Here is a 14283-nt window from a genome sequence, read left to right as displayed (position 1 = left end):
TGACTACCTCCAAGTAATTCTGGATTGTCTCTTGGACATATTGAATATCATATTCTGAAACTCTGGGTCTTATTTACATTCTACAGTGAATGTTGATTTTTTTGGTTTGTTTTTTCAGCAGACAGTTGACCCGGTTAGGTTAAGGCTGCAAGTTTCAACCCACTTTCTGTGAGCTGTGGTTCTAACGTCAGCTCAGCTTTTTAAGCCTCTGTTGTGCTATTCAGATCTGTCCCATATATAGGTCATCTGGTGGCCATTTTGGGCCCTGGATGGTGGCACATTTGTTAGTTTGGTTTTCAAAGTCTTTGGTGTGCTGATTAGAATCAGATTCATGTATGCAGAGCTCACTGATGAGTTCAGGAGTTCATAATCCATCTCCCCAGTTTCTATAGTTCTTTCCAGTCCCCTGGTGCTCCCTGTTTTTGTTCTTCGGCTACCAAGCTGAGGCTTTAGTTACCCATCTCTGCTGCACCCTTCTATAACTGTGCTTGCATACAGGGCCAAGTAGCAGAAGGATGGAGAGAGAGAGAAAAAGGCAATGGGGGCTTGCCCCACTCTCTTGGGGCCACAGTTCCACCATTCAGAGAGAAAGTTTCCTTCTCACAGAGTGTTGGCTCCTGCAGGTTCCTATTGTGGTCCCCACCATCACCCCTACGAGACTGCTTGAGAGTTGGAATCCAAGACAGCAGAGAGAAGAAAAAACTCTGAGGACTTCTGTACTTTCTCTGAGCGTTAGGAGTTCCTACCCAGCTCTGTAACAGAAACCTAGAGGGTTTCTCCTGGAGCTCTCCCTTTTTGGGCCCCAGTGCCCACTTCCAGGTTTAAGGCTGCATTGCATTCAGGTCAAGAGATACTGGAAGAAAAAGAAAAAAAAAAGTAAACTCATCATGATTTTGGTCATCCATTGAATGCTGATCTTCCACAATCCACCTTCTACTATTCACTTTCAGAGTCTTCAAATAGGTGTGGTGCTGCATGTGCATTCTGTCCACATTTTATAATTAGAAATGTAACACTCGAAACCCAAAACCAGAACACCCAAAACGCTGGTTTGCTTTTCGGCTTTGCAGTTATTTTATACTGCATTTGTTATGACTGCATTCTGGGGAGAAGTATCCAGACTCGTGGGTGTACGTTCGCTTTTTATTAAGAAATTTTATCTGAAAAAGAATTCTCGTTTCTCCTTGTCTATAATATGTGAACCAAATATAACTGTGATTCATATATTAAATACGCATTTATTTAATTTACTTCTAGGGTAAACAGAGACATAAAACTTCTCATGCCTCAGGGCAGTCTTGACTTAGGCATTGAACTCTGTTGCGAGCTTTGTTCCCTTTTTATTTGAACAATCTTCAGGCACTTAATTATGAGGTTGCTGACTGGCGTGCATGGTGAAAAAAAAAAGTTTTCAGGTTAGTGAACCTCTTCTACATTTAAAGAAAAACATTTACCACCAAAGCAATTTCACAGAGATCCTGGTAGAAATGACATTCCTACTGGGTAATTTGATGTTCTCATTGTAAAATAAGTTTTTAACTTTTTCCTTCCTCACACATGTTGCATCCAATATACTAGCAAGTACCAATGCTGTTTACAATAAAATATCACACTCTAAGATAATTGTTCTGTATTACCAGAATATTACTTTAGTACTACTTATGAGGTTGAAATATTGAAAAACACGGTTTCCAGCAACTACTCTTCACGTGAAGTTGAAAACTGAATTCCATTTTAATAATTATGACTGTGGGAGTGGTTACATGAGATTTTTCTTTTTGTTTATCTTTGCTTTTCCATGTTTTTAAGCTATCTATGATTTTAAAGAAAGCATCACTTTCATCAGATTAAACATGCTTTACAAATGAGGATACTTGTACTAGAAGCTTGGAAAACTAGGGATGCATCATCCTCAAACCTGAATAAGCGTGATTAAATGGCTTGTCCCTTCTGGGTCTCAGCTATCTCATCTGAATGTGGTTACAATCATCTCTGTTCTGCTTATTTATTCCCAAAGGTTTTTGGTGAGAATCAGACTAAGAGGTAAAGTAAAAACAGTTTACTACTCATAAATTCTGTGCAATTATGAGGCTCCTGCTGATACTGAGATTATAATGATGAAAAATAAGGCAAGAGAGGGAATTTTTATCATTACCATAGACCTTAACCCTTTCAGTCATGAGGCTAATGGTAAATTATTTAAAATTATGATATTATGCATTCCTTTCTTCTGGAAAAAATTTTTGTGTGTTGTTCCCTGAAGATCAGAGGTCAAAAACTAGCAACTAGCACATGTATTTGGTTGACCCACCCAGAGTTAGCCTATGTAGTATATTTTAAAATGTGAAACTCACTTCCTTAGCCAAAGGGTGGAAGAAAGGAACATGGGAAAAGGGTGAGGGAATGATTCTTTGTAGTTCTCCATTCTTTCAGCTGAGAACGTACTTTTTTTTACTAAGTCCTCTGGTTATGTTTGGACTTGAACACTCATTGACAGGACCTGCCTGGCCCCAGTAGGCACTGAGTTTAGAATCCTGTTGTAGATGTGTAAAATCAAGTTGTCTTTGCATGAATTCTACGTTAGGTTTTTATTTTCAGAGCAATTACTGAGCTTCCATAGGGTACTGACCTCTCCAGTGACCATCACAGTGTTGCTGATGACTCTGTAGTCTCCTCTTGTCTTTTAATTAAGAAGCCACTGTATTTTATTTATTTGTGGCAGGGCACGGTGGCTCACGCCTGTAATCCCAGCATTTTGGGAGGCCGAGGCTGGCGGATCACAAGGTCAGGAGATCAAGACCATCCTGGCTAACATGGTGAAATCCCGTCTCTACTAAAAATACAAAAAATTAGCCAGGCGTGGTGGCGGGCGCCTGTAGTCCCAGCTACTTGGGAGGCTGAGGCAGGAGAATGGCGTGAACCTGGGAGGCGGAGCTTGCAGTGAGCCGAGATGCACCACTGCACTCCAGCCTGGGCGACAGAGCGAGACTCCGCCTCAAAAAAAAAAAAAAAAAAAAAAAATAAGAAGCCACTGTATTTATTTGTTTAATATGTAGACTTCAGGACTCTATCAAAAAACTAGAATATAGTATGTGAAAGCATTTCTGACAGTGATTATGCAATGAAACATAGCTTTCAAGCTGCTCTTCTCTTGGAAAATTGTCATGTTTCTTTCTTTTTTTTTTTCCTTGAGACAGAGTCTTGCTCTGTTGCCCAGGCTGGAGTGCAGTGGTGCCAGTGCATCCAAGAACACCTGGGCTCAAGTAGTGATCCTCCAGCCGCAGCCTCCCAAGTAGCTGGGACTGCAGGTGCACACCACAATGCCCGGCTAATTTTTTTTTTTTTAATGTTGTGTAAAGACAGAGTCTTGCCATGTTGCCCAGGCTGGTCTTGAACTCCTGGTCTCAAGCTGTCCTGCCTTGGCCTCCCAAAGTGCTGGGATTACAGGCATAAGCCACTGTACCTGGGCTATGCTTCATCTTAAATGAGTCAGAGATGGTGATTTTGTCTACTCTGATGACAAAATAGATAGTTCTATTCTTCATCTTGGGTTCAGTGTTAGTGTGTGAAATAACTTTGTTAACTCTTGGATGACTTGTGTAGTAAAAATGCTGAGAAGGTGACAGGAATGTGACTTGAGACTGATGTCCAGACTTCAGAAGATAGGTAGAGGCGTGCAGTGCTGGGCCCAATGGATTCAATAAATAACATATGATCTCAGCCTTCAAGGAAAGTATAATAATGCAGAAAAGAATTTCTTTGACAATTACTATCTTGTCTTGTGATGAATAATTGGAGAGAGAACTCTTCAGAGCAAAGAAACTATCCTAAATTCCTGATGTGATTTATCAGTATTTATCTCAAATATACAAAAAAGCAAAATCTTTCACTGCTTTGATAACCTTTTAAAAACATGTTACTTTAAAAACTTTCTTGTTTTGAAAGAATATACTTTCTTTTTTTTTTTTTTTTTTTTGAGACAGAGTCTCGCTCTGTCACCCAGGCTGGAGTGCAATGGCACAATTCTGACTCACTGCAAACTCTGCCTCCTGGGTTCAAGTGATTCTCTTGCCTCAGCCTCCCAAGTAGCTGGGATTACAGGTGCCTGCCACCAGCCCAGCTAATTTTTTTGTATTTTTAATAGAGACGGGGTTTCACCAGGTTAGCCAGGCTGGTCTTGAACTCCTGACCTAAGAATTCACTTGAAATATGTTTCTTGGAACGTATCATTTCTACACTGAATGGACATATCTGGCCTTATATATACTATGTCTCACTTTCTTGTGTGTGCCATAATTGCATGCATGCACCACCCTTTAAAACAGCAACTGAGGGCCGGACGCGGTGGCTCACACCTGTGACCCCAGCACTTTGGGAGGCTGAGGCGGGCCGATCACGAGGTCAGGAGGTCAAGACCTGCCTAACACGGTGAAACCCTGTCTCTACTAAAAATACAGAAAATTAGCTGGGCGTGGTGGCGGGCGCCCGTAGTCCCAGCTGCTTGGGAGGCTGAGGCAGGAGAATGGTGTGAACCAGCTTGCAGTGAGCCGAGATTGAGCCACTGCACACCAGCCTGGGCTACAGAGCCAGACTCCGTCTGAAAACAAAAACAAAAACAAAAACAAAAAAACGCAAAAAACAGCAACTGAGATAAAATTGAGGTGTTTCTAAACACCTCAATTAAACAGTAAAATTAAACAGTAAAATTAAAATTAAACAGTAAAATTAAAGAGTCATTAATAGTTGTATGTGCGCTTATGAAAATGAGGCTGGGAGGAAAATAACTGATTTTTATTATTTATTTATTTTTGAGACGGAGTCTCGCTCTGTCGCCCAGGCTGGAGTGCAGTGGCGCGATCTCGGCTCACTGCAAGCTCTGCCTCCCGGGTTCCCGCCATTCTCCTGCCTCACTCTCCCGAGTAGCTGGGACTACAGGCGCCCGCCATCACGCCCGGAGAATTTTTTTGTATTTTTAGAAGACACGGGGTTTCACCGTGTTAGCCAGGATGGTCTCCATCTCCTGACCTCGTGATCCGCCTGCCTCGGCCTCCCAAAGTGCTGGGATTACAGGCTTGAGCCACCGCGCCCGGCTGAAAATAACTGATTTTGTTATGGTAAAAATAATCCAGCTTCCTCTGGACCGCCAGAAACAGTTAATAAATACGTGTGTAGCCACGGTTCCCTCTTTACATATAATTGAATTGTTGGAAGATAATTTTAATCAGGAAAGAAGTTATCGGGTAGTTTTGGTTTGTGTTCTTCCCCCTAATTGGTTTTCTGCTATTTCTAAAATGTTACATAATATATAGCTCCTCACCCTCTACCTTAGAGAAAATTATCCAGTAAAAGAATACAAAAGGCTAAAGATATGTTTACTTACCTATCTTTTTCAGTGTAATTATGGTTTTTCCAGGTAGTTTTTTTGCTATAAGGGTAATGTCCTTTGGTTTTGTTTACATGAAAGAACCATGACTTTCCAGCAGGAAATGAAAGTAGGCTGTTATTTCTAAATGCTGGAAAATGTTTTTGTTTTCTTGGTGGAAGTGAGAGATTGAGGGGGCCAGAAGTCTTGTTTAATTTTGTAGTTCTGTATTTGAGTTCTTTGGTAGTTGATAGAGAAAAGTGAACTTTAAGAAGCCATTTGTATTTATTTGTTGAGTAGACAGTTGGTCTTCCATGTCTGTGGGTTCTGCATCCATGAATTCAACCAACCTCAGATTAAAAATATTTTGAAAAAAAAATTCCACAAAGTTCCAAAAAGCAAAACTTGATTTTGCCATCCACTGAGTACTGTGTTGAATCCACTTGAATGAAATGATATGTAGGCATTGTATTAGGTATTATAAGGAATCTGGAAATGATTTACAGTAGACAGGAGGATGTGCCTAGGTTACATGCAATTGCTATGCCATTTTATATAAGGGACTTGAGCATCTGTGAATTTTGGTATCTGAGCGGGATTCTAGAACCAATCCACTGAGGGTAGTGAATGAAAACTCTATAGAATCAAAGGTTTTATTGAAAAACTAGCATTTGGGAATGTGACAGTATTTCTGACAACAATTACCCAATGAAGTAGCTTTCAAGCTATTTGTATCTCCAATCCTTTCTTAAAAGTTCCAATAAAACGTTTTCTTTTAAGATTTTCCATGAATATTAGTTGGGAGGATAGCTAATGATAAAAAGGCAGGGAGTTCAAGACCAGCCTGGCCAATGTGGCGAAACCCCGTCTCTACTAGAAAAATACAAAAATCGGCTGGGCGTGGTGGCAGGCGCCTGTAGTCCCAGCTACGCAAGAGGTTGAAGCAGGGGAGTTTCTTGAATCCCAGAGGCAGAGGTTGCAGTGAGCTGACATTGTGCCACTGCACTCCAGCTTGGGTAAGAGAGCGAGACTCCATCTCAAAAAAAAAATAATAATAATAATAAAAATAAGGAGAGAAAAGAGTCCTCTTTTTAAAAATTGAGATAAAATTTGCATACTATAAAATTCACCATGTTAAAGTCTAGTATATTGACAAGTTTGTGCAATCATTATCACAATGTAGTTCCAGAGCATTTTCATCATGCTAGGAAGAAAACATATGTCCTTTAGAAATCATTCATTTATTTCCTTCTTCCCCCAGCCTCGAGCAGCTACTAATCTACTTTCTGCCTCTATGGATGTGCCTATCTGGACAGTTCATATAAATGGAATCATACTATGAGATCTTTTGTGTCTGGCCTCTTTCACTTAGTGTAATGTTGTTTTTTGTTTTTTATTTTTTTGAGACAGGGTCTTGCTCTGTCATCCAGGCTGGAGTGCAGTGGCGCAATCTAGCCTCACTGCAGCCTCAACCACCGGGACTCAAGTGATCCTCCCACCTCAGCCTCCCGAGTAGCTGGGACTACAGGCACAGGCCATTATCTCTAGCTAATTCTTTGTATTTTTTATAGAGACAGAATCTCACTGTGTTGCCAAGGCTGGTCTCGAACTTCACTTGCCTTGGCCTCGAAAAATGCTGAGATTACAGGCATGAGCCACCAGGCTCGGCTGGAACATAATGTTTTCAAGGTTCATCTACCTTGACTGTTACTCTTTTAATTCTCTTAACAACGCCCTGTGAAACAATGGCAAACCAATTTTACCATGGAGGAAATGGAAACATATATTAACTTGCTCTTGGGCACAACAATCACACTTTCATTCAACAAACATGTATGGGGCACCTATGCCTGACAGAAATCTTCTGCAAAGTGAGGTTCTGGCATTTAGAAGGTGGTGATACCACAAATAAATGGACATCCAATATAATGGTAAATAGTAGTAAGTATAATAAAGAAAAATAAAGAAAAATTAAGTGGATAGGAAATGCAGAGGGTATTATTTTAGATGGTGGGGGAGTCAGGGAAGGTCTCTCTGAGGAGATAACATTTGAAGTGAGACCTGAATGAAAGGAGGGAGGAGGTCATGAAGAAATCATTTCAGGCAGAGGAAAGAGCAGATGCAAAGGTCCTGAGGCAGGAGTGCATTTAGTGTGCAACAAGGTAGCCAGCATGAATGGATGGTAGTGAGAGGAGGGGGGTGAGGACAGAGGTAGAGGAGGCAAGAGATTTGGCCTCAGTTAGGGGCAGGGGCAACCCTATTGTAACAGGGCAGCGGGCACATGGCAGAGTATCAGAGTACAGATAAAACAGGCTGGTATAGCCGGTAGTGGAAGGATGAGGAAACTCCTGAGTGTTTGTTATCTCAGTGTAACAAGAAGAAAAGTGATAACTGAGAGTGAGGAGAGGTTGATGGTGTCAGAAAGTGGAGAAGAGAGTGAATGGACCAGGGATATTTTGGTGAAGTTATCTAGCAACACCTGGGGACTCTCTGTGATGTGATTTTCTCCAGCCACATTAAGCCTTCCAAGTGCCAATGCAGAGTATGAAGGAAAATCAGTTTCAACCAGGGCTGAGGTTTTGCCAAGTAAGGAGGACAATGGGAAAGAGAGACAATAGGCTGGGTGCAGTGGCTCACGCCTGTAATTCCAGCACTTTGGGAGGCAGAAGAGGATCACTTGAGGCCAGAAGTTCGAGACCAACCTGGGATATATAGTGAGACCCCATCTCTACAAAAAAGACAAAACAAAGACTTATATCAAGAGGGACAACAGAGCATGGTGATATGTGCAAGGGAGTGATTCTACAAGGACCATACAATCTCAACAGAGAAAGCAGGGAGGAAAGGACAGAAGGGGGAATGATAGAGACTGTAGGTTAGTGGGATGGAGTTAATGGAGTCTGACTGCCAGAGGGAGTGAGCTGGAAAATAGGAAGTGATATTTTGAGAGTTTGTAGTTATTGGTTATGACAAAGTGTAATGTAAGACTCTAGGACTGTGTGGCTGAGGTGGGTGGAGGTTAAGATTATTAAAGAGAAACTCAAGAAAATAAGAGACCAGGGTATTGGATGGACCCTTTTTGTGAATAATGAAATCACCAAGAGGATGACAAGAAAAATGGTGAAGAAAAGGAAATAATGAGGGAGACACTAGAATGAATGGAGGGAAGTTAGTGGATAACTACAAAAAGCAGATGACTATAAACAGCAAAAAGCAGTAGTATCATTTAATGTCATATATTTCAAAAGAGCCGCAGATTTTTAGAAAGGGGGAATAATGGTCTGGAATTAGCAAAGATGAACAAGAGTTCACTTCCATGATCAGTGGTTTTGGGGTATATGACTGATAAAGTTAGGATTTAAACTAGTTCTGTCTGATTTCCAGTCATTTCCATTATACCACCTCAGGTCTGGATTGGAATTATAGTTCTTGGACCTAGATTTCAATATTCTCTTACCACCTCTGCATTTGGCTGCCCTCAAAGTTGTGTTGCTTTAAACAGTTGCCAGGATCTATTATAAAAGTCTGATTCATGTTAAGATTTTAAAAATATATTCTGGAAAATTTCAAACATGTACAGAAACAGAGATACTAGTCTAACAATCCCCCATGTAGCCATCACCCAATTTCAACACTTACCAGCCCAAAACTCATCCTCATTCTTCCACATCCTCAGTCTCTTTCCTCTGCAATTACTTTGAGAAAAATCCCTGGCTTTACATCTTGTCATCCATATTTCAATATTTACCTCTAAGAGATAAAGCGCTATTTGTCAAAAAATCGCATCTAAAATTACAATAATTCTTCAATATCATCAAATATCTAGTCAGTGTTCAAATCTTCCTGATTGGCTCATTATTTTTTTTAAACAGATGTTTGTTCAGATCAGACTCCAAATAAAGTCCATTCACTACAATTGGCTAATATGTTGAAGAAACTGGGGCCTTTGTCCTGTAGCTTCCCACAGTCTGGATTTTGTTGATTGCATCCCCATGGTGTTATTTAACATGCTTCTTTGTTTTCTATAATTCCTGGAAATTGGCAATCAAATCTTGAGGCTGGTCAGACACAGGTTTTATTTTTCTAAGAACTCTAACATGAATAAAATCATAGGTGGTGGTGTATACTTGATCAGAGGCTGTAGGTCCGTTTGTCTGTCACTGATGTTAGAAGCCACTGGTGATTTTTGCCTAGATCCATTATTTCAAAATGGCAACATTGTATCAATTTTTCTTCATTTATTAGATTGACAACTTTGAAACAGAGCAAGTTCCCTTCATGAACTAATTTGTGACCCTGAAGTCCAATGATGTGGTTTAGGAAAGGCAGCCTACACTTTCCCTTTTCTCACTGCCTATTTACTTTTGAAACAGGCTTATCTGAGTGTATATTTTGTCTTTTATGTATTTAAAGCTCGTCCTACGTTTGAAACCAGAGTACATTTCAGGATGCACTTTTGCATTGTGGTGTAATATGAATAGATTTATCACTAAATGGAAATATAGGATTTAGTTCTAACACCCTTGAGTTGGACTGTACTGAGAAGCATTCAAATGTTTAACAAGCAGCTTCCCAACGTTCAGATGCATTTCACAAAAGTTCATAAACTATTAAACTCTTTTCTGAAAGGTGACCAACTAAATAATTTATAAAAACAAAGGTTCAAGCCAGTGCAAGGATTATTACATCAACTGTCTAGTCTCTTTTTCTATTCAAAGAAATAACACAGGAGTGTAGTGCCTATGGAATCAGACAGATGGGATTTGAATTCTTCTTATTACGCTGAGCTTGGGCAAGTTGTTCTATATATCCCAAGTATATTAATATAATAAGAGATTCTGAAATATCAGTGACTATTCTAAAGCATACATTTCTAAAACATCACAAAATACACATGCACTTAACAAAAGTTCTTTTTTACTACTTTGTTTTTGTTTCCCTTTTTTTTTTTTTTTTTTGTTGAGACAGAGTCTCGCTCTGTCACCCAGGCTGGAGTGCAGTGGCACGATCTCGGCTGCAAACTCTGCCTCCCAGGTTCACGCCATTCTCCTGCCTCAGCCTCCCAACTAGCTGGGACTACAGGCACCCGCCACCATGCTCAGCTAATTGTTTTTGTATTTTTAGTAAAGACAGGGTTTCACCGTATTAACCAGGATGGTCTCGATCTCCTGACCTCGTGATCCGCCCGCCTGGGCCTCCCAAAGTGCTGGAATTACAGGCGTGAGCCGCTGCACCCGGCCTTTGTTTGCATTTTGAGGCAGAGTGTTGTTCTGTCACCCAGGCTGCAGTGCAGTGGCACCATCTAGGCTCACTGCAACCTCTACTTCCTGGGCTCAAGTGAATCTCATGCCTCAGCCTCCCAAGTAGCTGGGATTACAGGCGTGAGCCATCACACCCAGCTAATTTTTGTATTTGTAGTAGAGATACAGTTTCTATGTTGGCCCGGATGGTCTTGAACCCCCAGCTTCAAGTGATCTGCCCACCTTAGCCTCCCAAAGTGCTGGGATTACAGGCGTGAGTCACCAGGCCCAGCCTATCTTTTTTATTACTTTGATGGGGGTGGGGATGGGTTAAGCAATATTGCAAATTGCCAGATATTAATTATGAAATAGTACAAATTGCTGTACTGAGAATATGCCATCTTTGATTCTCAGTGCAGTGTTAGCGTGGTCAGCTTTAGGCTGAAGTATATTTTACTCCATACTAACGGAGTTGCATGGCAGACGAGGGAGGTCTACTCCAGGACATCCCTGTAAGGCAGTTTAGGGAGACAATACTGGACAAATGGTAGAGCTAAATTTGCCTTTGGTTCCACTAAGAGTATAATGGAAGACTGAACATCAGTGAGACAGAAATGCACTCTAAATTGACTAGAAAATAACCATAACATACCTAAACACTTCCCTTCTATTACTGTTAAACCTAGCCCTCTGCCTCAACTTGCCCTGCTTTTCTCCCCCTCCTCCCAGATTGAGTCAGTGCTACTCCATCCCTAGTTTGGATCCCTGCCTTACTGGAGCCCTGTTATCCCGTAGTTGTTATATCTTTTGTGACAGTGCCAACACATAGTTAGTAATAGATGGGGCATCAAAATTATTTCCCAGTCACTGAGAAACAAGTATAAACACTGAAAAATGATTCCCATCCCCTAATTTTCATGGGAATCTATGGATTAGAAAGATATGAAAATTGAGATAAGTGAGGGAATAGGATACAAATTGTAAAAAAAGATTTTACAAAGTATAGTTTATGTTCATATCTTGTCATTATCTTAATTATATTAGGCATAATATAAGTTTTGTGGGCATTGTCTCTTTAGAATTACATTTTTACCAACTTTTTATTGATGTGTAATGCACATACAGAAAAGTGGAATTTACATTATTAAGGTCTTTAAATAGTGTCATATGGCCATGACTGCCTTATTAATTTCTGTTGTGACACAAAATGATTAAAATTGTGAATTCATGAGTTAGAACATTCTCAACTTTAAAGAAGCATTAAGTTCAGTCGTGGTATGCTGCATCAAACTTAGTTCTGAGTAACGCCTAGAACAATGCATAGTATTTTATATTGGCCAATAACCAATGTTTTATAACTCCTGAACAAGTGGATAAACTGAATTCGGGATGAAGTTCAATCCAGATCTTCAAGGTTATATTTTTCTACTCATATATATCTATCTGCATATAGATATATATGCAGCTTATAGTGTTCTTAACAGCTATGTTAACTACAAAGCATAAAAAGATTTTGCAACAGAGTTGGAATGGAAACAATTTCTGAGATAGAGATCAAATTGTGTTTATAGAACCATTATTGGCAACTTTGCTATCAGTCATTTCCTGTGGGAATATTTCACTGGGACATAGTTTTATGCCTTGACTATTCATTAAATAGCCTGGGGCCCATGGAATGAAAATATTGTAGAACTACAAATATCAATATATGCAAATTATAGTGTAATATTTCATCACATTTCATTGCATTTTCTTAGATACGAATTAAGATTATTTAACAAACTGTGTCTCTTACTCATCGCAGAAAGAATTTTAAAACAACACTAATATAGCATGGTCTAGTGGAGAGTTAGGCAATAGACTGGAATTAAAGCCACTTGTTCTCTCTAAATTAAAATTGATATTAATTCAAAAATGTTTATTCATCATGCACAATATATAAGATGCTAAAGTTATACTCCTGTGGAGAATATAAAGGTCAATTATAAACAGTTTCTGCCCTTAGGGAGTTTATGAATTTTCTTGTAAAGGAGAAAGGACATGTATACAAACTGTATAAAACAAAAAACAGTAACTATACTATGGGTGGGAATAAAGTAATATTGAAGTTTAGAACTTGAGTTCCCGTCTGGGAGATCAGAGATGACTTCATAAACAAGAAGGCAGTTGAGCTGAGTTTTATTATTTTATTCTTATTATTTTGAGACAGAATCTCCCTCAGTCATCCAGGTTGGAATGAAGTGTCATGATCTCGGTTCATTGCAGCTTCAGCCTCACAGGCTCAAGTGATCCTCCCACCGCGGCCTCTAGAGTAGCTAGGACTACAGGTGCACACCACCACATCTAGCCAATTTTTTTTGTGTTTTTTTTTTTGTTTGTTTTTGTTCCTCGTAGAGACCAGGTTGTGCCATGTTGTCCAGGCTGGTCTTGAACTCCTGGGCTCAAGCAATCTGCCCATCTCAGCCTCTCAAAGTGCTAAGATTACAGGCATGAGCCACCCCGCCTGGCCTAGAGCAGAGTTTTAGAGAGTGGGTAAGATTTCTGCAAATATTCTCTCTTATCTGCAAATCTCAGATGCAGGTAACAATTATTCCAGAAAGCAGAGACTAGGTACTAATAAAGGTAGTATAGTCAAAGCACATTCAGAGATTGGAGCCACTGGACAACAAGAAAACAACTGACATAGGAAAATATACTGCAGTTGCAAATAAGGTAAATTAGGGCAAAATTATTTCATTTTATTCAGTAATGCAAACATTTATTTATTCAACAAATATTTTCTTAAGTATTTGAGTATCTACTAAGTGCACGCACTGTGCTAGGTGTCAGCATATTTATGAGTAACTCAGAAAAAGGCCCTTTCTACTATGTAAACACTAAAAAAAGTAACTCAAATCAGGGATGATAGCACGACTGATTCTTATCAGTCACTGAATCAATTAATCTCTGGCAACGAGGGGTACTTGAGTTTGCAACTGCTGCCCAGAACCTGGAATTTAACGTTTTTGGGAGACAGCCGGTATTTCTAGATTACACTGTGTCTCAACTTCAATTCAATTGCTTCTCAACTCACTATTTAAATTAAAATGAAGTGTTAACTTTTTTATATTAGAAAGCTGCAAACCTGTATGATAATCTTGTAGGTAGGGTGATGAGGGACATAATATTTGTGGCTCCATTTTACAAGTTTTGGCTGATGTAATAATTTTGTTAGCATGCATTAACTGAAATAAAGAAGGAAAAACAGACTTAAAAGAGACATCGGTGGGTGGGTTTTGTTTTGTTTTTGATAAAAGAACTCTTATAGAAAAGGAATCGCTGCAAATTTCTTTTAGCTAGCTAGCTCTCTGGGCGATTAAAATGATTGATACATTTCTAGAACACATGCACCGAGATACACCTGCACTCGTACTTTGTCCGTCAAAACAATCTTTGTTTTCTCTCAAGCTAGGACTTGCTGTGCCTAAGACACACCTCGTGCAGCGGTGGCGGTGAAGGTGCTGGGGTGACAGCCAGGAGGGCACTTTCCCTTTCTCGGGCTCCCTAACCAAAACTTTGCAGCCACCAGCCCAAACTCACGTTCCTGCTCGTTCTTCTTTCCCCTGCCTCAACTCTCCCCGCACCCTTCGCGCTCTGTGCGCCCACCCCTGCTTCCGTCGGTCAGCTTCAGCCGACCTACTA

Source organism: Homo sapiens, chromosome 1, assembly GCF_000001405.40.
Source record: "Homo sapiens chromosome 1, GRCh38.p14 Primary Assembly".
Classification (NCBI taxonomy): domain Eukaryota; kingdom Metazoa; phylum Chordata; class Mammalia; order Primates; family Hominidae; genus Homo; species Homo sapiens.
Note: the sequence above shows the minus strand (reverse complement) of the source record.